The sequence below is a fragment of the Homo sapiens genome, chromosome 4, assembly GCF_000001405.40.
Source record: "Homo sapiens chromosome 4, GRCh38.p14 Primary Assembly".
Classification (NCBI taxonomy): Eukaryota; Metazoa; Chordata; class Mammalia; order Primates; family Hominidae; genus Homo; species Homo sapiens.
Genome location: NC_000004.12, coordinates 159004643 through 159029761, shown reverse-complemented (window position 1 = coordinate 159029761; position 25119 = coordinate 159004643). Strand labels below are relative to the sequence as shown.

Below are 25119 nucleotides of genomic sequence, written 5' to 3'. Positions count from 1 at the left end.
GGTTGATTTGCTCAGTCTGAATATCCATCACAGCATAGTGTGGCATCCAAAGGAAACACAAATCCAATTCCAAAAACCCTGAGAAATAACAGGAAATTACCTCACATAACACTACACAAAACTCAGCCATATGTTTTGTTTTGTTTTCCCACTCATTTCTCTTCTTTTTGAGTATCATAGTTAGAGCATAAGTTACTTCCTACATTGCAGATGGATCTTGGAATTTATTTAGCTTTCAATTAATAAAGGAATTGAAATTCTTTTTGAAAAAACTATCGGTGGATCCAACTTTTAAAACCTTTTTAAAAAGTTGATATATAACATACTCTATTAAGTACATTAATTTGTCTTTAGCTTGATAACATTTTACAAAGTGAGCACCTTTATGTATGCACTTTTAGATTAAGATACTGAATATTTTTATCACTCTAAAAAGTTCCTGTATGTCCTTTCCCAGTCAATCCTCCCACAATCAGATGCTGTTCTGATTTCTATAATTCATGTTTTCGATAACTGTGAGTTTTAATCTAATAGGGCAAGCTAACCATCTGTACTTTTAAAACATTTATCTGCTGGCTATTCTTCCACAGAAGTTTTACTACCAATTTGCTAAGTTCTGTAATGACATAGTGAGGAGATTTTATAAATAATGTTTGTTTGTTTTTTTGAGACAGAGTCTTGCTCTGTTGCCCAGGCTGGAGTGCAGTGGCACGATCTCAGCTCACTGCAGTCTCTGCCTCCTGGATTCAAGCGATTCTCCTGCCTTAGCCTCTCGAGTAGCTGAGATTTCAGGTGTGCGCCACCACGCCCAGCTTATTTTTGTATTTTTAGTAGAGATGGGGTTTTGCCATGTTGGCCAGGCTGGTCTCGAACTCCTGAGCTCAAGTGATCCACCAGCCTTCACCTCCCAAAGTGCTGGGTTACAGGTGTGAGCCACCGCACCTGCCTAGAAAATGTTATTTTTGTATTACAAAGATTTTACTATAAAAACCTTATAAACAAAATTAGGAAGAAAATTTAAAACTACTTTAGAGCATGGTTATATATTTTTAAAACATCTGTTTACATACAAATGACATTAATTTGTTTACCCAGTTCCAGGTCCTATGCAATTTTAAAGTTTAAAACTTGGGCTGAATGCGGTGGCACACACCTATAATCCTAGCATTTTGGAAGGAAGAGGTGGGAGGATTGCTTGAGCCCAGGAGTTTGAGACCAGCCTGGGCAACACAGAGAGAGTTCATCTCTACAAAAAATTCTAAAAATCAGCCGAGTGTGGTGGTGCACACCTGTGATCCTAGCTACTTAGAAGGCTAAGCCAGAGGATAGCTTGGGCCTGGGAGGTCGAGGCTGCAGTGAGCTGTGATCACACTACTGCACTCCAGCCTGGCCAACAGAGCAAGGCCCTATCTCGAAGGAAAAAAAAATACTTAAAAATTACATTTCTTTAAAAATACATTCTTTAATTCAGATTTTTCTTCATTAATTCCTACTTGGCTCAAATTAAATATAGTTAAGAAATAGTTAATATAAGACATAAAATTAAAAAGGCACTATAACAGATAATCTAATTTAACCTATTTTTTCAGATGGGAATACTCAGGGTTCAGGTAAGTTAAGTGACTTGCTGAAGGCCACACAGCCTTGTAAGAAGGATGGAAGCTTCTGCCTGCTCCCTGTTTATATGGGGTATTTATGTGCCTTACATCCAGATTACTGACTAAATAAAAGTATTAATATATTTAGTCAGCCATCATATACCTACTAGAAAGTCTGCTCATGTAAACCAGAAATATTACAGAACTCTACCTTACAAAGGAGTGATCACAGCATGAAATTTCTGTTAGAAATACATTAGAATTGGAAATACTCTCTAGGAAATGGCCAAAAAACGATATGATGAATGAAACTGTAAGTGGTCGGAGAAGCACATAAATGTATATGTAATTTTGAAATGTATTGCTCCATTAGCCAGCATTTCAGACCCACTTATTCATCTTATTTTTTGCTCTGTGAAACTGTCATACTAATAGTTATGTCTCAGATTCAATTATTTTAAAAATAGAAAATGACTTCACACTGAATTGCCAGTGGTTTCCTGTTTGAAGAAATAATAAAATAGTCCTACTGCAAATGCAGTTTAAGTCCCAGCACTATAATCCACAAGACAACTCTTTTAGATTTTTAAAAACTAATTCATGACAAAAGCTTACACATTTTAATGGTACTGAAACATTGGGTTGACTAAACTGCATTTTATTTGTCTATTTTTATTTTTACCTGCCTTTTATTCTGTTGTCATAGCATGCAGTTTGCCCTGAATCAAAATTTGTTCTATTACTTTAAGATATATTGTAGACAATATACATATGTCCTTACCATGATTCTTCAGTCTACTCAAAAATAATAAATTAAAAGCTAAGATAGTTGGAAATGATCTTCTGATAGAATATAATGGGCCATTTATTGAAAACAAAATTGCCAAACATCTAGTTAGCTTAATTATATCCAGTTGCAGTGATTTATTTGATAAGGACATTAGATATTAGGCGTTGCTATCATAATAGCAAAAGTGGGAGACCTTATTCATTGTCCTCCATCAAACACTGTTCTTTTCATAAGACATATTATTACATTTACAAAACTATAAGTGTTACATGAAAGCCTTATCTATAGGTGACAGCAACTCCAAATCAATCCTACCTTAAATTGTTGGTCACCTAACTCAACACAGTGTAATTTGCAGAAAAAAAAAAATCAGTTGCTGCTATCCCTTTGAAAAGCACCTGAACCAACCCCTTAGAAGAGGACTTCTAAGGAAAAGCTTTGTCTTAACTTCAAGTTTTTTGGTTTTGTTTTATATATGCATAAATATAAATATATAAATATAAATATATGTATATAAATAATTACTGCATAAGCTAAGATGGAAGGGAGGAGGATTTATTTGCCTTTCCATGGCTTTATTTAATTTTCCAAAGTTGATCCTTTGTAGGTTATGTTAATATCACTTCTTAATTTTTTTATTTTTTATTTTTTAGCACAAACACATTTATTTATTAACCAAAGGGATGATCCTAATTAATCTGATACTGAAACAGCTGCATGTAAAATGTTTGTGATAAAGATAATTGAACACAGTAATGAAAAAAAAGAAGCAGTATGGAGATTTGCCCATTGAACTGAGCTTGTTGATTTTCATAGCTATTTCCTGTCCAAAGTGATGATGAAATTTTTATTCTACTTTTTTATAGATCTGAGAACAGGTGACATTGTTCATGACACAGTCTACCATGAATTTCCCATCTTTCAATTTTCTTGTTATTGTGCTTTTCTTCCCATCCCACTCCTGATGCTGAACCAATGATCCATCTGTAAAGTTGTAGAGAGTCTGAGTTTTTTTGCTATGAGCTGTAGTTTCTTCAAACTTCTCTCCCAGGGTACGAGAAAACTGTGCTGTTTTCTAAGTGCTCTGAGTTTTTATGGTGAGGTTTTTGTCATCACAAATGATGATACACTCTGGCTTGGCCATTGTGCCCATTTTTCACAAAGCTATTCCCACTCCTAGTTCCTTCACGTATTCATCAAGGCCTTTGCTGTCCACTAGGCATCATCTTCCATCTGCTGAACAGTGGTCATGGTGGGCATAGGAGGGTGTGTGGAGCAAGCTTAGCAAGGTCGGCATGGGCAGCGCACTGTGAATATCACTTCTTTAAATCAGGATGAAATGCTCTTGATTAAGCAAAAAGAAGTTTCTGTTGTTGAAACAGGATGTGAAAAAATTATTAAATGCAAGATGAGTTGATTGTTTACTGTGTGCCAGGCCCTGTGCTACCTACTAGGAAATAGGTGTAAGCATGAAGATCCTGCTTCAAGAAGCAAAAACTGTAAACTTAGACACCAATGTCGGCTTTCCCCTTAACTCTTTTGAACTCAGTTTTTAAAAAATCTGTAATTTGGGGGATATAAGGTTTTTATAAGGTTTTCTATCATGGTTTAATGAAATGAAAGCACCTGTAAATAATATGAATTTAATAATTTTTTTAAACTGTTTTTTTCTCTTGAGAAGTTGATTATCTGGGGGAGATTGGTGCTGGGGAAAGGACACAAAACCATCTTAAAATTCTTTTTTTTTCTTAATAAGCCAACCAAGTACACCTTATTTCCCAAAGTCTGAAGCCATAAGCAGGTTTTTAAAATACAGGAAGAAATAATCTAAGATTATTTAAGCAAATGGTTTTAAAACTTTAATGTGGAAATTATTCTCCTGGAGAGGCTTGTTAAAATGCAGATTTTGGGGTGGGTGTGCTGGCTCACTCCTGTAATCCCAGCAGTTTGGGAGGCCGAGGTGGGGGGATCACTTGAGCTCAGTAGCTCGAGACCAGCCTGGCTAACATGGTGAAACCTCGTCTCTGCTAAAAATATAAAAATTAGCCAGGTGTGGTGGTTCACGTCTGTAATCCCAGCTACTTGGAAGGCTGAAGCAGGAGAATTGCTTGAACCCAGGGGATAGAGGTTGCAGTGAGCCAAGATCATGCCACTGCACTCCAGCCTGTGCGACAGAGCAAGACTGGGGTGGGCTTGAGAGTCGGCATTTCCATCAAGATCCCAGGTGATGCCCACCCTGCTGGTTCCCAGACCACATTTTGAGTAGCAAGGATCTAAACTATTCTGGCTCCACCACTTACTTATTGTTGTGACCTTGGACAAGATACTTACCCTTCTGTGTCTCAGTTACACCATCTGTAAAATGGCCATAATAATATCTACTTCATAGGGTATTTAATGGGGTAATATGTACAGAGTACTTAGTGTCTGGCATGTGGTAGGCTTCACATGTGTTATATATGTATATGCATATCGTCACCTGAGGTAGGTCACAAGCAATATAAGTAAACTAATGGCTACTGGGCCTAGAAGATGAAGTTATTTGTGATGCTAATCATTATCCTGACAAACATTGGCTTTTTGGATTTTCTTGTAAACCTGATCTAAATAACATTAAAGAAAAACAAGTTCCATTAAAAATATTTTATAGTAGAATGGCCAAGTTTGGAATTCTGCCTATAAACTTCATTAGTTTACATAATCTTGGTTGATGAAAACTCTATGTCATTCAGAAAGAATAGAAAGATCTCATTAGGGGCCTCTGGTGGAAAGCTTTTAACTACAGGCGTCATTTTGTCTGTTTACCTTGAGTCCGTTTCCCTTGAGTCCGTTTCCCTTTCCTTTCTTCCCTTTCTTGCAAGAGGAGAGGTAGCACAAGTTGAACGCCAGCAAGGAAGCACTTTACCCTTGACCCCTGCTGTGTATGATCCTAGTCAATTTCATTCACAGCAAGTGATAAAGGATAAAGTGCCTCACTGTCTTGCTAACCCCAGTTGCCAGTAATTATCTCAGAAAAGGTAGAACCTTTCACCGTGCCTATTAAAAGCCCCCTTTGACCAAAGATATCACCTTTTAGAAAAATATACCTCAGGGAAAAGTCTGCAGTGGATAGAAGATTATCCATGTCTTCAAGAATAATGGCACTGACAGAGACATCAAATCATTTAGTTGGTCAAATCATTTAGTTGGTCAAATCATTTATTTGAGGCAGCACTTTCTAAAATAAGGAGATAATTTCTGGAAAGGACAGGATTGCAGGAGAGGTGGTCATTTGAGAGGAAGAAATGAACACAGATGGATTGCCCCTGCTCTGTAGTAAGGGTTGAACCAGACAAACATCACAAGGCATCCAGCTACTTCGTTTCCAAGCTGAGTCTGAGCAGAACTGAGTTCCTAGTCAGGATGATACCTAACTGTAGCTCTGAAAAGGACCTACAACAGCCCTGGGAAACCTCGTGGAGGAGAGGAGAGATCTGCTTTATTTCTAAGCTTTATTCTTGGCAGTCAGGTGACCTTCTCTGGCTGGAGGAGCGGAGACCTGAGGGCAGAGCCAGGAATTTGAGGTGGCTAGAACAAGTACAGCAGCTTCTAAGTTTATTAAACAATGATCAAAACTCACAAATGCATAATTGGGGGCAAGGGTGGTTACTGAGGAAAAAAGAGATACAGTGTGCCATAACATGTGAGCCTAATCCTGTTTTGGGGTTCTTTGTGAACATTCTGTCTGTGATACAGCCATTCTGTTGGTGGCTTTAGAGGATGACTCTAGAAGATTGTGAGATTTATTCATAACATCTACTTTTATTTAAGCCAGATTATCTCCAAATTTGGATGGGAGTTTGTCTGGTCATTTTTGTGTGATGAAGTGACGTAACTACAGGGTCCTCTAGAGAAGCAGAACCAACAGGATATAGCAAATGAGGGATTGGCTCATGTGATTATGAGGGAGAAATCCTATGATCTGCTGTGTGTAAGCTACAGAACCAGGAATGCCGGTGGTACAGTTCCACTCCAAACCTGAGGCCTGAGAACCAGGAACACTGATGTCTGAGGGTCCAAGTGGAGCACAAATTTGCCATTTTTCCACTTTTTGGCTCTATTCTTGCCCTCCAGGAATTGGATGATGCTCACTCACATGGGTGAGACGGTCTTCTGTCCTCAGTTTACCAATTCAAATGTTAATATCTTCTGGAAACACCCTCACAGACACACCCAGAAAAAATATTTAACAAGATCTCTGAGCATCCTTTAGCCCAGTCAAGTTGACACACACACTATATACATATATTTTTATTTTATTTTATTTTATTTTATTTTATTTTATTTTATTTTATTTTATTTTATTGAGATGGAGTCTCGCTCTGTCGCCAAGCTGGAGTGTTGTGGCATGATCTCGGCTCACTGCAACCTCCGAATTTCTGGTTCAAGCAATTCTCCTGCCTCAGCCTCCTGAGTAGCTGGGATTACAGGCAGGTGCCACCATGCCCAGCTAATTTTTGTATTTTTAGTAGAGACGGGGTTTCAACATGTTGGCCAGGATGGTCTCGATCTCCTAACCTCGTGATCCACCAGCCTCAGCCTCCCAAAGTGCTGGGATTACAGGCGTGAGCCACCGCGCCCGGCCAACACACGATATTAACCATCACAGTCTTCCTGAAGGGGACTCTGAGCTAACCACAATCCGTATCTAGGGCATTGCAGGCCAAGATGTAATATGCATAAGAACCACTTATGGAGACACTTAAGAATGCAGAGCCTCAGGCCCTATACCCCAAATTGTTTTTTGGGGCCTAGGAGCCTGCATGTTAAAGAAGCACACCAGGAGACTGTGATGCAGGCAGTCCAGTGACACATGTGGGAGACACAGTAGGCCCAGAGCAGTAGGAGCTGTGTATGTTCTGCACCTTGAAGCTCACATGTGCTCCAATTCCACTGCTCTTTACGATCTAATTTTAGTAGGAAGATCAGAAGATGGGAACATACTTTTAATTTTATTATTTAACTTAATTATTGAAATTAGCATGTATAATACCATTCTGTAAATGATAATATAAAAATGGAATATGTTTTCTGCCCAGTGAATGACGGCACTGGTGACAGGATAATTAGGAATGTAAGTCGTCAAAAGTTATGCAAACAAATCTGAAGTTAAGGGAAGATTAGTGAATAAATGCTGGTAGCATTTGGGTTACATAAATTCTGTGTTCATTGCAAGGAAATAATACCTCCCACATCTCTTTCTTTTAGGGATTTCCAGACTCTTTCAAAGTTCCATTTACAAGCTAAGTAGCTATCACCACCCTCTTTTCATAAAACGGAAACAGAGCAAAGTAGGCATGCTCATCATGTGGGCTGAATAAAGAAGTTAAAAAAATAAAATGATCTATGATTCCAGATCATACCAAGGAACTGACATCGTAGATTTCATTTATTTCCTTTTCGGAGGATTCTATAGTCACTTAGAACGCAAGATCCACCACTGAACCAAACTCACCTTCCTGATCACCACCCCTCACCAGGATATGCACACCCTTGGAGATATGGAAATGTCCTGAGGAATGCCAGCTTCTTTTGTCTGCATGGATACAAAACAATCCATTCCAGATCTTGGGGATTTCTTTCTTTTCTCAAACTGAGTATCTTAGACTCCCTTGTAAGTGAGCTAAAAATAAATAATAGCATTGACCCAGGCATAAAACTACTCAGAAGATAGAGATAGAAATCAGGATTTGCAGTAAATCCTATAACATTGTATTGATTCTACTTCTGCTTCTGAAGGAAGGAAGATGCTGTGGAATTATTGTCCACATGTATGGATTGTTTGTGTGAAGACCATAAAGTACAAAGTTATTTATCTTATTCTATATATTGGTCAAGAATCCCATTAATCATGGTTAAATAAGCAATTTCCCAGCTGCTGCTCACCCAGGAGCACTCTGAGGCATGAGCACCAGCATGGAGAAGCTGCTCATTCACAAATCAATGCGGGACACTGAAAACCTCTGCCTCTGTGATTTTGTGATGAAGGCTCACAGTTGTCCTGGTCCACAGCATCTTAATGTGAATGGCTTTCTCCAATTGGCCATTATGGCTGCCTCTTATTGTGCCTGTGTTTGAATGGCTTTGGAGGATGACTCTAGAAGATTGTGAGATTTATTCATAACATCTAGCTTTTAATTAAGTCAGATTATCTCCAAATTTGGATGGGAGTTTGTCTAGTCATTTCTGTGTGATGAAGTGACAGAACCACAGACAGAAACTATATGTGTAAACCATTGCTGCACCACTGTGGACCTCCTAAGAGAACGGCAGAGGCCGGGTGCGGTGGCTCACGCCTGTAATCCTAGGACTTTGGGCGGCTGAGGCGGGTGGATCACGAGGTCAGGAGATCGAGACCATCCTGGCTAATACGGTGAAACCCCGTCTCCACTAAAAATACAAAAAATTAGCCGGGCGTGGTGGTGGGCGCCTGTAGTCCCAGCTACTCGGGAGGCTGAGGCAGGAGAATGGCGTGAACCCGGGAGGCGGAGCTTGCAGTGAGCCGAGATAGCGCCACTGCACTCCAGCCTGGGCAACAGAGTGAGACACCGTCTCAACAACAAAAACAACAACAACAACGACAAAAAAGAACGTCAGAGTGCCTTAGCTTAAACGTTTGGAAGTTGAAGCATACATTTGGGGCTGTGATTGTGGCCTTAAGAAAATTATGTATTGTATGAAAATTAAGGACCATCTGTTAAAGCAGAGTTCAGACTTCCCAGAAGGTGGCATAGGGTAGCCTCGCAGATAACTGGAAAGGAAAAGACTCCCTTACCTCTAACCGGCCCAGGGGCAGAAGGTCCAAGGGCAGGGATACTTCAATGTGGGGCACTCACTTTGTCACATCTCCACTGGACACAACTGAGTAGATAAAATTTTGAGCAAGTGACTCTAACATAAGGCAGCTTCAAAGACAACTTCTACCATAACCGTCATCCCTGTAGTCTGTTCATTAAAAGGGATGACAAATATTTTGATCCTCTGCTATCTCCTACCCTCACCAAATGACTGATATACCCTTACCCTCTGTTCTACTCACCATCCCACCCCCTACCCATCTCTCCATAGCTTCTTTCTCTTCTACAATTGCACAGAGATGGAAGAAGAATGAAAAGGGAAAACCTGCACATATAGAAAATCACAAACCTTAGTCTCTAGTTACATTATTAAAAATTGCTACCAAAGGACATTTAGGGAATCTTTTTTTTTTTTTTAAAGATGGAGTCTGGCTCTGTTGCCCAGGCTGGAGTGCAGTGGCACAATCTCGGCTCACTGCAACCTCCGACTCCCAGGTTCAAGCAATTTTCCTGCCTCAGCCTCCTGAGTAGCTGGGGTTACAGGCATGTGCCACCATGCCAGCAATTTTTGTAGTTTTAATACAGGTGTGAGCCACCGTGCCCGGCCCATTTAGGGAATCTAGGTGAAAGATTTACAAATCAACTCTAATTTATTGTCCCCCAGAACTGATTTACTGTCCCCCTCTCTCCAGTCAGCAAACCCAGCAGGCCAGATGGCTGGCATCCCTCTCATTGTACATTTCCTTTGCCTTTTCTTCTGATTTTAGTTTCTCCTGTTGTCCAGGTCAGCAAAACCTTGTTCCTGCCACAGCCACACTCTGGCCTAAGTTGACCAATTGTCCCAGTGTATTCACGATGAAGGGATTCCCAGGACACTGAACTTTCAGTGCTAAAACTGGGTTGAGCTGGTTTCCTGAATTCTAACCCTTACTTGCTGCCCTGGCCAGGCAGCCTCTCCAGTGCCATGACATCCACTTCCACGTGCAAAGAGAATTCAGATAAGCACCAAACAGAAGGGGAGGCACTCATGATGTCAGGGTACTGGGCAAAGTTCCCGCATCTATAAGCCATTACTGACTTCCTTCCTTGCAATCAGAGAAAGACGAAAAGATGCAGGCCATTCCACAGATATCACCAAGTAGATACCCACCTCTACTCCGAGGAAATCTTGTGCAATTATGAGAGGTGACATTCACTGGTGTATTTATCCAGCTATGGTTTGCTTTTTTTTTTTTTTTTTTGAGACGGAGTCTCAAAAAGAGCTCTGAGCTCTTGCTTGTTCTCCAGCATCTGAATCACTTTCCTGCACTGGTGTTGGAGGACTATCCACTTGGGTATATCACAGGCAGAAACTTTCTTGTGAAGCGGTCTATTTGGGCAACTCCAGCTGGGGAACCAGGACTTCTAGAACACTCTTTTTGGCTCCAGCTTTAAAGGATAGGGAGATAGGACATGCAGGACCTCCTTTTGCCCAGGCTGGAGTCCAGTGGCGCGATCTCGGCTCACCGCAAGCTCCGCCTCCTGGGTTCACGCCATTCTCCTGCCTCAGCCTCCTGAGTAGCTGGGACTACAGGCGCCCGCCACCATGCCCAGCTAATTTTTTGTATTTTTAGTACAGATGGGGTTTCACCATATTAGCCAGGATGGTCACGATCTCCTGACCTCGTGATCCGCCTGCCACAGCCTCCCAAAGTGCTGGGATTACAGGCGTGAGCCACTGTGCCCAGCCTAATTTGCTATTCTTCTTGACTAAAGATGACTTTTATCAAAACCACCTGTTGACTTCATTATAAACCCAAGGAGAAGACTGTGAATTTATCCCAAATTGATTGCAGTAATTCAGAGATGACCTCAAATTTTGCCAGGGGGACAAGACCAGCATTCTGAACCATCATACTTGCCTAGGGACAAAAAAATTAATACAATCTCCTTTCACTTTTTATAGTTTGGACATTTTTTTGCCTTGTTCAGTGATAAGCTGTCCAGGTATTTGTCCAGTTTTATATCATTAATCAGTACATATTGCCTATCACTAGAGTCAAAGAAATTATGTAAAGTGCAAACTAGAAAACAACATAGTGCCTTAGCTGGACTGAGCTTGCCACAGCCTGTGGCAGGTTCGTACTGTGTCAGCTGAGCCCATTGGACTACATGTCCTAGATTCCCTTCCCTACATAGTTTTGGGTTTGTCTGGGCCACAAGAGACATTTTGTGGGAAATTTGGAAAGCAGAAGTGAAGCAGCAGACGTATCATTTCAATACAACAGCAGTCCCCAGGGGCTGCTGCAGCCACGTGGGCTGTTACTGATATGCTGCCTCTGTTGCAGTGAGGCAGCTGCCACGTCCAAAGTGAACTCCAGCTCCTTCCCTGCCTCCTCCTTCAGTGTCACTGGCTTCTGGGCCAGGTGATGTTTAGCCCCATGTTGAAAGGCACCAGTTTCAGTGCAAACCACCCACTTCATCAGTGTTGGAGGCTTGTGGGTGATAAGAGACCTCCTTGGGTTCCACTAATCCTCATGGGTTCCAGCTTGGCGGACAAGTTTAAAGCCCGCTGACTGTGTCTGGAGCATCCCAATCCACTCCTGAAGCAGCCACAGTAGTCCTAGATTTGTGTGATGCATTCTTATTCTAGCCCACATCTCGCTTTGTGTTGCCTCCCTGTATATCTTATAAGCTGCCCCAAGACTTCCTCTTTACCATTCTCAAACCCACATTGGCTTGACTCCTTGGCTCTGAGCTCTTGCTTGTTCTCCAGCATCTGAATCACTTTCCTGCACTGGTGTTGGTGGCCTATCCACTTAGGTATATCACAGGCAGAAACTATCTTGTGAAGCGGCCTATTTGGGCAACTCCAGCTGGGGAACCAGGACTTCTGGAACTCTCTTTTTGGCTCCAGCTTTAAATGATAGGGAGATAGGACATGCAGGACACACCAAAACAGCCCAATACAGAGTACACTAAAAAGATCGTGTTAGGTGGGGTGGGAGGAATCACTTGAGCCCAGGAGTTCAAGGCTGTAGTGAGCTATGATTGCACCACTGCACTCTAGCTTGGGCAATGAAGTGAGACTCTGTCTCTTAAAAAAAAAATTGTTGGAGGAAGGAGTAAATGAATGAACTGATTTGCAGGGGCTTGAGAAGTTTGCAGTCTAAGGTCTGTGTGTGTGTGTGTGTGTGTGTGTATGTGTTTGTGTTTGTGTTTTGTCTTACTGTTCATAGGCACTAACTTACAAGTTTGATTGACTGTTCCATCCAGGGAGTCATTCGGGATAACTGTTTATCCTTAACCTGGGCCAATAATAATCTCAGCACAAAAAGGCAGTGCAGAAGGAACCTATCATTGTACACTGTTTTTGCTCACTTTTTCTTTGCCTGGAATAGGGTATGTTGACGGAAAGGGAAGGAGTCCTTTTTCCTTTCCCATCTAACATTTCTCTACTACTACTTTCTCAATGATTTATACTATTTGTTCACTAATAAAGGGCTGCTGAGGGCAACATCTAGAAGCAGATTTCAGAGAAACAGCTCCCACCTGCTCCCTCCAATCCATACTCTAATCACCCGGGCCCCTCCCGTCTCATCGCTCCCCACAGAGCTTTCCAGGGTGGTAGTTACTTATGTTCACTGTCCTTTGGAAGAGACAGAGATTTGCTTTCTAGCAGAAATGGAAAAGTAAAAGTGTTACAGATGCATTGTGGGAAGCAACGGGAGGGAATCACACAACTGAAACGGAATGCATTTATCCCCCTTCTCCAGTGGCCCAGCTGCGGCTCACCTAGTGTCTCCCTGTGGGGGGCAGGCTGCTGTCAAAAAAGCGAAATTGAAAGCCCAGTTAGACTCCCACTTTAGCCTTTTTTAGCTGGCAAGCACGCTTGAAGCAGCTAGGCTGCAACCACAAGGGGTTACCAAAGAAAAGGTTGAAAAATAAAATAGAAAAGATGGCCATCTAGAAAGCCTCCCTAAGAGAGAAGGAAAAATAAATAAATAACCAACTTAATCCCCTTTTATTTTTGTTAACTAGAAAATTGGGAGCTAGAAAATGATCTGTAATTTTTAAATTGCTGGATTTTCCCCAGTAATAATTAACATGAAAAAGTAACACCTGATGGAGCAAAAGTAGTGTTATGTTTTCATTTGTGAACAGTAGTATAATAAGTGGGCTAAAGGGAGTTCAGCTAATTGGCTCATGGTTATAGCTTTAATTTCTTCATCTATTGTCAGGAGAAATCAGCTTTTGAAGTGCGTGGAAAACTATGAAGTTTTTAATATGGATCAATAGGATGTCATAATGGTCTGATTAATAGAGATTGGCAGTGATTTTGGAAATCTGCTTTACATTTCATGTCTCTTACACAGAGAACAGGAAAATTTAACAGATTCCCATCCCCGTGTTTCACAAGTATTTGATTGTATACTGGTATTTTTTAAAATTACGAATTCTAACTTTTAAAACTTGTGTGTTGACGTCATCAGTCTGTCGTAAGTCCTGCTCAGGACCACATTTTCCATGACTACTACAGACTGACCACACCCTTCTCTGAATTTCTTTTTCAGTGAAAGGCGGCATCACCCAGCTTTGCTGTAGTTATTCAGTGCATAAGACTCTTTTCTTAGCTACATTATAAGCTTTCTGAGGACTGGGCCAAGCTTTCTCTCCTTCTGCCACCTCCTGATCCATCAACACAATATCACACATATACTAAGCACTTACTATAAATTTTAAACAGCTATAATCATTACTCATTCTAATTGCACAAAATTCTAGGTTTTTAATCTTTTGTCAGCATTTGAATATATATTATTCATATTTATACTTTATCTTAGCCAAAAGGCCGAGAAGTGATATTATTCATATTTATATACAAATTACAAAGCATTGTAAAAGCTAAATTTCTTTGTTCCAACTCTCTTTTTTCTAATAGAATAGACTGTTTCTCTTGCCTTGATCTAGTAAATCTTGAAACTTTTATATGACATGTGCAAAGGCATTAGGACAGATGCTCAGAAAGTTGCACCAGCATTTCTTGTTTTTGCTTTTCAAAAGGGAGGAAGTTATATTGAATTAAATTTTATTTCTAAATGGTTTGCTGCACCTGAAAATAATTCTTTCCAAATATAAACTTATTATCTGTATTTTAAAAACTGAACTATTCCTACAATAATGTAATGCTATCCTAAAATATGTTGCTTAGAGGTCTGCACATGACTGGTTTGCATGAGGCACTGCATTTTTCCTTTCCTTCAGTAAAGGAATTGTTTTCATAACATGCAAATACACACATATATTCATTTATTCACAAATATTTACTGTGTGTTAGGACACAGGCATTCCTTGCATTTGTATATTAGCCAAGGAAGGGAAAGAGACAGAGGCAAAATAAATCTGGGAGTTTCCAATTCTGCTAGTTTAGAGTCAGTCAACATCTGACGATATTGTTAAATTATTTACAGTCTTGCAGGACTTACGAAACCCCAAAGCTGATTTTCCTGTAATTCAGTAAAAATGTAATTTTATTACCATCACTGTAGTTATAACACATGGAAAAAATTAAGTTGCAATGCATAATGAAAATTTAAGAGTTATGGAAAGGTACATGTAAATCAAGCTTGTCCAACCAGTGGCCCACGGGCTGCATGCAGCCTAGAATGGCTTCGAATGTGACCCAACACAAATTTGTAAGCTTTCTTAAAACATGAAATGTTTTTGAATTTTTTTTTTTTTAGCTCGTCAGCTATGGTTAGTGTTAGTGTATTTTATGTGTGGCCTGAGATAATTCTTCTTCCAATGTAACCCAGGGAAGCCAAAAAATTGGAACCCCTGACATAAATGACGAAATACCCATCTGACACATTGGAAAAGCCAATATGGAGAAAAAGCATAAAATGCAGACTTTTAGGCTAGTGGCTGAGAGACTGACAGCACATCATGGCAGCATGGTGTGTGTGTTTAAATTTGTATACATATGTAACTAACCTGCACAATGTGCACATGTACCCTAAAACTTAAAGTATAATAAAAAAAAAATTTGTTTCAGAAGGGATACATCCACTTACAGTGAGTAGCATTTGGGGCTGCAATTTTTTTTGAGACAGAGTCTTGCCCTTTCGCCCAGCCTGGAGTGCGGTGGTGCGACCTCAGCTCACTGCAACCTCTGCCTCCTGGGTTCAAGCGATTCTCCTGCCTCAGCCTCCTGAGTAGCTGAGACTATAGGCGCCAGCCACCACATCCAGCTAATTTTTGTATTTTTAGTAGAGACGGAGTTTGACCATGTTGGCCAGGCTGGTCTCCATTTCCTGACCTTGTGATCCGCCCACTTCGGCCTCCCAAAGTGCTGAGATTACAGGCGTGAGACACCGCACCTGGCCCTGGGCTGCATATTAAAACATGAATGGTTTAATGTTGGAGTGCTTTTCTCATTCTTTTCTTTTATAAACATAACAGAATTTACCTTTTAACTATTTTAAAGTGGACAATCCTGTGGCATTAAGTATATTCACATTGCTTGCAACTATCACCTCTTCCATCTCCAGAATTTTGTCATCCTGTAAAACAGAACCTCTGTACCTATTAAACACTCACTCTCCATTCTCCCCTTCCCCTAGCCTCTGGCAACCACTACTCTACTCTCTGTCCCAGTAAATTTACTCAGGACCTCATTAAGTGAAATCATGCAGTATTTGTCTTTTTGTGACTGGCTTATTGGACTTAGTATTATGTCCTCAAGCTTCATTTATATCACAGCATGTGTCTCAATTTCCTTCCCTTTTAAGACTAAATAATATTGCATTGTATGTTGTTATGATCTGAATTTTTATCCCCACCCCCCAATTCATATGTTGAAGCCCCAACCCCTCAGTGTGACCGTACTTGGAGGCCAGCCCTTTAGAAGGTAACTGAGGTTAAATGAGGTGCTGAAATAATCTCATGAAACTGGTATCCTTATAAGAAGAGGAAGGGGCATCAGGCCTTCCTCTCTCTGTCTTCACCTGTACAGAGGAAAAGCCATTTGAGGACATGACAGGAAGGTGGGCTCCTACCAGACAGGAAGAGGGGCTCACCAGTCACCAACCCTAACAGCAACTTGATTTTAGATTTCAGGCTCCGTAACTGTGAGAAGATAAATTTCTGTTGTTTAAGCCACCCAGTCTGTGGTATTTTCTTATGGCAGCCCTAGGGAACTGATACATATGTATACACCACACTTGAGTTGCCTCTGTACCTCTTGGCTATTGTGAATAATGCTGCTATTAACATGTGTGTACAAATACCTGAGTCCCTGCTTTCACTTCTTTTGGGTATATACCCAGAACTGGGATGGCTGGATCTCATGGCATTTCTCTGTTTAAGTTTTTGAGGAATCACCATACCTTTTCCTGCAGCAGCTGCACCATTTTACATTTTCACCAGCAACATACAGGGTTCCCATTTCACTTTATTTCTCATTTTTAAAGCATTTAAATATACTTTGGTTACTGTGAAGAACCTGTGGCCACTGGGGAATGATCGTAGACGTGGGACTGTTGACAACATATTCAAACATGTAAAGTTAATTTGCTTTCCTGTAAGCAGTGATGTAACAAATACACAACATTGCTTTTGAAGTGGAAATCTAATTAAGCAGGATCCTCAGTGCTATTTTGTATCAGCATAACTTGATCAAAAATTGGCCAGGTGCAGTGGCTCATGCCTATAATCCCTGCAATTTGGGAGGCCGAGGTGGGAGGATCACTTGAGCCCAGGAGTTCGAGACCACCCTGAGGAACATAGTGAAACCTCATCTCTACAAAAATAAAAAAAATTTAGCTGGGCATGGTGTTGAGGGCCTGTAGTCCCAGCTACTCGGGAAGCTGAGGTGGGAGGATCATTTGAGCCCACGAGATTGAGGCTGCAGTGAGTCGTGATGGCACCACTGCACTCCAGTGTGGATGACAGAGTGAGATCCTCTAAAAAAAAAAAATTATTTCAACATACTGTGGTGATAGGTTAGCTAAGGTTATTCATGTTAAAAATGCTGCCACTCCTTCCCTAGCAGTGTTCTCACCATGTCTATTGAAAACACATTTTCTGATCTTTCCTCTCTGGGTGCTGTGAAGGTATCAGATCAGGTATCATCTCAGCCCACATCCTCTGAATTGAATTATGGTATTTTCGATCATGATGTTATTTGTTTTCAACTCCACATTACACGTAATCATGTAGCTCATACATCAAGTTTAGGAATATATTTCTTCACATAGCCCATGATCTCTAAGTGCCAATACTCTGTGCTAAGTAAGATATCTTAAAATTTTGTTTTAATAGAGCTAGGGTCTCACTATGTTGCCCTGGTTGGTCTTGAACTCCTGGGCTCAAGTGATCCTCCTACCTCAGCCTTCCAAGTCATGGAACTACTGTTCTTGGCTTTAAATTTTTTCTTTATAATTATTTTCAATTTTTATAGATTTAAGAAGCCATTTGAGGAATAATTTTTTTTTTTTTTTTTGAGACAGAGTCTTGCTCTGTCACCCAGGCTGGAGTATAATCGTGTGATCTTGGCTCACTGCAACCTCTGCCTTCTGGGTTCAAGTGATTCTCCTGCCTCAGCCTCCTAAGTATTACAGGTGCACACCACCACGCCCAGCTAATTTTTGTATTTTTTTTAGTAGAGACGGGGTTTCACCATGTTGGCCAGGCTGGTCTCAAACTCCTTACCTCAGGTAATCCACCCACCCTGGCCTCCCAAAGTGCTGGGATTACAGGCATGAGCCACCAAGCCTGCTCAGAATAATTTTTTTTTTTTTTTTGGGATGGAGTTTCGATCTTGTTGCCCGGGCTGGAGTGCAATGGTGCAATCTTGGCTCAACACAACCTCCGCCTCCCAGGTTCAAGCGATTCTCCTGCCTCAGCCTCCCCTGTAGCTGGGATAACAGGCATGTGCCACCATGCCCGGCATGTATTTTTGTATTTTCAGTAGAGACAGGGTTTCTCCATGTTAGTCAGGATGGTCTTGAACTCCCGACCTCAGGTGAACCACCCCACCTTGGCCTCCCAAAGTGCTGGGATTACAGGCGTGAGCCACCGCGTCCAGCCAGAATAATTTTTATAAGCATTAATTAACCCAGAGAAAATTACAAAACCCTAAATGTTGTAATAGTTGTTTTCAGTATGGCATCACCACTCTCTAAATACTTCAATTAATCCCAGATCATGATAAAAGCTTTTAATTACTCTATACTATTCTTTAACTACCTCCTTTTGCACACATCAAAGAATGGGGATTTATATTTCAAATATTTAATACCCATTAGGCATTCTATATGTTCCCTAAGAATTATTTAGAATGATTACATTTTCATTTTTCAGGCTACTTCAGTTGAAAGACAGATTGAAGTAAAATTGGCAAGTGAAAGTCAATATTTAACTGGTACTTCACTTGGACATTTTATTCTAGTTTCAAGCTTTGAGGTAAATAATTGAGTGAGGGAGGGGAACAGGAATCAGCTCTGTTTTGTTCAACAGTTTCCTCAGGATTTTATACAAAGAGAGACATCATGTGGTTATGTTTGCTGAACATATAAACCTAGGAAGAAGAGAGAGTAAAATTCGATGACAATTTGGACTGTAAAAGATGTTACTATTTTAGAATTGGGTCTGAAACTCACAAAGTTATAATTTAATAGGACTAAATATGAAGCTTGCACTTAGAGTTTAAAAATCAACAATCCAAGTAGAGGATAGGTAAGACATTATGCAATAGGTTGGTGTGGAGCGTGGAGCTGACTGCAGACTGGAGATGTGCCCGGAGGTTAGCTCAGTTGCCAACAAAGCTGACACAATAACAGGCTGCATTAACAGAGAGCTGTGTTCCAGAAACAAACGCTGCCCCGATTGGGCCACATGGTAGCATTATTTTTGGTTATGCATGCCACATTTTAAGCCAGATGTTAATAAATTGAAGAGCATCAAGAGGCAGAGTGGTGCAGAGCCTGGGAATGTTGTTACATGAACGCCTGAAAGAAGTGGGGAAGCCTAATTTGCAAAAGAGCCTAAAGTGACCCTTTCCTGGGATCTCATGGGCTATTTCAATGAGACGGGGATTCTTTACCAGAATTCAGAATTCAGACTACTGTGTGACTGTTACAGGAAGGCAGATTTTAGTTCAATGTATGGAAGAATAATTAGACCTGTCCAAAAATAGAATGTGCTTTTGTTACTGGAAATATTTTGTCAGTTGGATGAACACGTGCTGTGAAGGGGAGCCCACATAGAGTGCAAGGTCATACCTGCTGACCTCTGAAGGCTGCACCTATCCAAAGCTCCCTTAGAACATCCTGGAAACCATGTATCTCTGCCAATACTGTGTACAGTATAACTGAATTTAGGGCTGTATTTATGTGATTTTCAAACAACCAACCAGCCATACAAAGTAGATTAACAACGTGTCCACTAATACATCAGGGCATATGTTTATTTCAGCACCGGGATTTTGCCCATGGTCTCTGCTGCAGAAGCAACCAGAAATCACAAGGAGTAGTTTTTGTTTTTTGTTTTTGTTTTTGTTTTTTTGTGACAAAGTCTCCTCTGTCATCCAGGCTGGAGCACAATGGCGCAATCAAAACTCACTGCAGCTTCGACCTCCCAACCTCCTGGACTCAAGTGATCCGCCCACCTCAGCCTCCCAAGTAGCTGGGACTATAGGCGTACACCACTGTGTCGGGCTAATTTTTGTAATTTTGCATTTTTTTTTATTAACAGAGATAAGGTTTTGCCATATTGTCCAGGCTAGTCTCAAACCCCTGGGCCCAAGGGATCTGCCCACCATGGCCTCCCTAAGTGCTAGGATTACAGGCATGAGTCACTAAGCCAAGCCAGTAGAACTCTTAACTAACCCTTATGAGAGCCTCTCAATAGCAACGGAAACATGGGGACATTTGAAGATAAGATTACCTTTCCATGCAAAAGAGCAGCAGCTTGGTGTCCTTTGTTGATTCTAGGAATATATAAATTGCAATTTCAGAGTCCATAATTAGATGCTTTGAAGAATGAGAATGCCAACATTGCTAGTCTTGGTACATTAATTAATAAATGTTAGAAGTTACTTGGCACTTCTTCCCCTTCAGAAACAACAGCAAGAGCATAGGGCAGGGGTCCTCAAACATGATGCATCAGAATCACTTGGAGGGATTGTTAAGACAGATTGCTAAGCCTCATTTTCATGGTTTCTGTTTTAGGAGATATAAGGTGGGCCCTGAGATTTTGCATTTTTAATAAGTTCCCCAATGATGCTTATGCTGTCGGTCAGGGGATCACATTTGCAGAACCATTGGTATAATGAATGAATGAACACTGTATGAGAAGCCATGCTATAATCATGCAAAGTATTTATTTGAGTGGTGTTTGGGAGCCTGTTTGTACCTTCTTGAGAGAACCAATTATTAGCATCTCTTTCCAACTTTGCATTCAGTGACATCACACAATAGTTTGACATTGACCATGTTGGAAATGTTTATACCACAGAAACTGGTAAATGCTAAAACCATAGCTTTTTCTCTTGAGAGCCCAATAAACCACTGCTATAGACTCAAAGCAGAATGAAAATATTGGATGATCGAATGTCTAATACAATGTTTCTCAAATTCACTTCATTCATGGTTTTACTTAATGCTGCTTGAGTCCTGGCTACATAACCACAGCAATATTTTTTCAATTATAATGTGTTAAAAGGGCTTAACAGGAATGGAATTCATGAAATGAAGTGTATTCTTGGATTTAAAAGACAATGCAATATTGTTTTATTTACTAATTATTTAAGAATAGTCAACATCTGATCCACTTTATAAATGTGTATTAAAATTATAACATGAAAATGAACATAGTGATCATTAAATATATGTACAATACTAGTTCATCATCATCTAACATTTACCAGCTGCTTAAAATGGGCGCTGTCATAATTCTTTACATGAATTATCTCAATTTTTTTTTCTTTTGAGACAGAGTCTTATTCTGTTGCCCAGGCTGGAGTGCAGTGGCACGATCTTGGTTCACTGCAACCTCCGCCTCCCGGGTTCAAGTGATTCTCCTGCCTTAGCCTCCTGAGTTGCTGGGATTATAGGCGTGTGCCACCACACCTAATTTTTGCATTTTTAGTAGAGATGGGGTTTCACCATGTTGGTCAGGCTGGTCTCGAACCCCTGACCTCAGGTGATCCACCCGCCTTGGCCTCCTAAAGTGCTGGGATTACAGGCATGAGCCACCATGCCCGACCGAATTATCTCAATTCTTACAAAACTCTGTGATGTAGATATGTTATCCTCCACCTTACAGATAAAATCTGAAGTCACAATAACAGGTATATGAAACTGAGGTATCAATATGTATATGAAAGAGGCTGGCATGTATCAGATGATCTCATAGGTAATGTCCTAGAAACCTCACATGTAGCATTTCTTTTTAAAAATTTTGTACTGTATCTACTTATTTATTTTAGAGAGAGTTCTCAGTATGTTGCCCAGGCTGGACTTGAGCTCCTAGGCTCAAGAAATCCTCCCACCCCAGCCTCCCAAGTAGCTGGGACTACAGGCGCATGCCACTGTGCCAGGTGAAATATACCATTTCTTAAAGACATTTTACTGATAACTACATTGTTATTATGTAATTACCATATTCTTTTTTTTCCCACACACAACATATAGGTCATTTATTTTCCTTCTAGTCCTGGATTCAGTGCATAGATGGCTTCTCTTCACCCTTCGGGTTGACAATTTTCTCCAGGTTGCTGCTGCTGATATGTTAAACCTCAGCGTAGAAGGCCCCGAAGTCCAGCACCATGGCCCTGAGCTCCCCATAGGCTGCCTCATCTCGCTGGTGCACCAAGACCCAGTAGTCCATTACATGAGTCTCCTTGGAGGCCTTGGCCACAGCATCCCGACGTTCTGAGAAGTACTTGGAAATGGTTGTCTGGAAAGCTTCCACTTTGCTTTTGACGGCATTCACCCTCTCCAGCACCTTCTCCTGGATTGCTACCCCAAAATCATCCATCTTCAATCTTGAGGATCAGGTGCTGGATCCCTGTGATCACTAGAATGCATTTCTCTTTGAGACTACAGACTCCTGGCTTAACCAGGGCAAGCAGGAACAGGACCTTCTCATTCCTAGGGAGAAATCCACTCTTAGGGACTTCTTTCATCTCCTGCTTATCTGTTTCCATCTCATCATCCTTGGGTGGAGGGCCTGGGATGAGATGTCCAGTGGGGCCCGGAGGGAAGTCAGGTCAGCCACATTGAGGCAGTACCTTGCAAGAGCTGATTCAAGTATATGATTTTCTGTGGCAAGAATCTGTAGAGGAATTCCTCAGCCTCCTGGAAAAGATTCTGCCTGAAGATCTCCACCTGTTTACAGGCCTCCCGTCTCAGGCGCACCCCACACGGCTTGGCCATATGCTGCTTCAGTTGCTAGATCTCTGGCCTCCTAATTACCGTATGCTTCAATATATTTTAAATACATTTTAGAAGAAAATACTGCCGGCATCAAAACTTTCACAGGACAATATTAGAACAACACTGGCATTCTAGGGAAAACAATGTTAAACATTGGCTTAATGGCCATAAACTGTAATAACTTGACCAATCCTAACCCTTCTCTTTTGAGCTTTGCCTCTCAAAGGGAGGACCCTCAGCCCTCGTTTGTGGTGGGTGAACATTATCAATGCTTGCCACTTTGACTCCCTGATTTCTATGCTTCCCTGAGGTTGTCCTACCTGTGTTTGACATGTTTTAAATTTACATATTATTAGTAAGTTATTGGCAATCTATGATTGCTCTGACTTTAAAACCTCTGTCTTTAAGTTTCTTTTGTATCTCTTTGATACAACCAAGATGCATCCTGGGGATTACTATCTGTCACCACTTAGTATCATCTTCAATTCAGCTTCTTCATGTTCAGCATTTTGCTCAAAGCCGTAATATGACCAAAAATGAGTATTAGGTTGAATGAAAACCTTGGAAACTTGGCTGTCAGCATGTACAACATATCCTGTAGGGAGTGTAATCTCACTTTAAAAGGGATCCAACTGTGAGCAATTAGCTATAGAAAGCTGGGGGGCAGGTTTCAGGGATGAGTAACAAGATGAACTTTGCATTGCATTGGCAGGGTGTGGTACATTTTCCCACAGGTTAAAGCCACTAGCTTTTCATCTCGCGTAAACATGGTTGCTTAAGATGGTTTCACTTTGGACTTCTGAATGACCCTTCTATACTGCTTCTGTCTGACTCTTCAGCCAGTTATGTACACTAAAAACCTCTCCCTCTCTAACAAATATTGCAACAAGTTTTCCAAATCTTAATGAGCCACAGTTATAATTATCCACCAGCTTTAAGTATTGTAGAATTTCACAAGTTTGTAAACTTCAGACCAACACTGTTCAACGGAAACATAATTCGAGCCACATACATAATTGAACATTTTCTGGCAGCCACATTAAAAAATTAAAAGAGGGTCAGGCGCGGTGGCTCACGCCTGTAACCCCAGCCTTTGGGAGGCCAAGGCAGGTGGATCACTTGAAGTGAGAAGTTCAAGACCAGCCTGGCCAACATGGCGAAACTCTGTCTCTACTAAAAATACAAAGATTAGCTGGGCGTGGTGGCACACACCCATAGACCCAGCTACTCAGGAGGCTAAGGCAAGAGAATCACTCGAACCTGGGAAATGGAGGTTACAGTGAGCCGAGATTGCACCACTGCCCTCCAGCCTGGGCAACAGAGTGAAACTCCCTCTTAAAAAAAAATTAAAACAGGTACAAATAACTTTAATAATATACTTTGTTTAATCCAATAAATCCAAAGTTATTTCAATATGAAATCAATATTGAAAGTTATTAACAAAATGTTTACATTTTTTCTTTTGTACTAAGTATGTGAACTCTGGGTGTGTACTTTTGACTTATAGCACTTCTCAGTTTGGGCTAGCCACAATAACACATGTGGCTAGTGGCTGCTCCATCGGAAAGTACAGCTGGAGACTTGTTAGAACTCAGATTAATGTTATCTGGGAGCATCCATATATCCAAACACCCTAGTTGATGGTTTTTTGTTGTTGTTATTATTGTTTTGTTTTGAGATGGAGTTTCGCTCTTGCTGCCCAGGCTGCGGTGCAATGGCGTGATCTCGGCTCACTGCAACTTCTGCCTCCCAGGTTTAAGCAATTATCCTGCCCCAGCCTACTGAGTAGCTGGGATTACAGACACTCACCACCATGCCCGGCTAATTTTTGTATTTTTAGTAGAGATGGGGTTTCACCATGTTGGCCAGGCTGGTTGATTTTTTTTTTTTTTTTTTTTGAGGCGGAGTCTCACTCTGTCACCCAGGCTGGAGTGCAATGGCGCGATCTCGGCTCACTGCAACCTGGGTTCAAGGGATTCTTCTGCCTCAGCCTCTTGAGCAGCTGGGATTACAGGCTTGCGCTACCATGCCCAGCTAATTTTTGTATTTTTAGTAGAGATGGGGTTTCACCATGTTGGTCAGGCTGATGTCGAACTCCTGACCTCATGATCCGCTTGCCTCGACCTCCCAAAGTGCTGGGATTACAGGTGTGAGCCACCGTGTCTGGCCGATGGTTTTTTAAAACTAAGTTTCTGGAAGAAGGTATTAATTAAACAGCCTGGGCAACAAGAGCAAAACTCCATCTCAAACAAACAAACAAAACCACTCTTGACCTGGTAGCTTTAATACCAGGTCATATAACTAATAGGATGAATAATAATGAATTAATTATGGTAAAAAAAACAGCTTGACACTTACTGTGTATTAATCAAAGTGAGTAAATGTATTGAAATTGTGACCCAGTGCAAAAATAGAACAACCATGTTAGGTGCCAGAATTCCCATTATTATTTATAATCAGGTAAAGTCTACCCAGGC

General features: G+C 40.9%; 1 protein-coding gene and 2 pseudogenes across 5 annotated transcripts in view, besides 3 other annotated features; 1 reads left to right on the top strand and 2 right to left on the bottom strand.

Moving 5' to 3' along the window:
* The window catches only part of SPMIP2 (sperm microtubule inner protein 2), a 189752-nt gene that overhangs the window by 53124 nt on the left and 111509 nt on the right, over positions 1-25119 (top strand). The gene's annotated exons all lie outside the window — the stretch shown is intronic.
* FABP5P12 (fatty acid binding protein 5 pseudogene 12) lies at positions 3038-3699 on the bottom strand (annotated as a pseudogene).
* Positions 11646-11715: an enhancer, noted in NCBI's record as "active region_22088". NCBI's record gives its function as "activates an Ori minimal core promoter by ATAC-STARR-seq in GM12878 lymphoblastoid cells {active_cell/tissue: GM12878}" and the evidence as "EXISTENCE:reporter gene assay evidence [ECO:0000049][PMID:35858748]".
* Positions 11896-12215: an enhancer, noted in NCBI's record as "active region_22087". NCBI's record gives its function as "activates an Ori minimal core promoter by ATAC-STARR-seq in GM12878 lymphoblastoid cells {active_cell/tissue: GM12878}" and the evidence as "EXISTENCE:reporter gene assay evidence [ECO:0000049][PMID:35858748]".
* PSME2P3 (proteasome activator subunit 2 pseudogene 3) lies at positions 21885-22673 on the bottom strand (annotated as a pseudogene).
* Positions 23009-23541: an enhancer, noted in NCBI's record as "OCT4-NANOG hESC enhancer chr4:159927373-159927905 (GRCh37/hg19 assembly coordinates)". NCBI's record gives its function as "activates a minimal SCP1, AML or CMV promoter by ChIP-STARR-seq in naive H9 embryonic stem cells {active_cell/tissue: H9 hESC(naive)}" and the evidence as "EXISTENCE:reporter gene assay evidence [ECO:0000049][PMID:30033119]".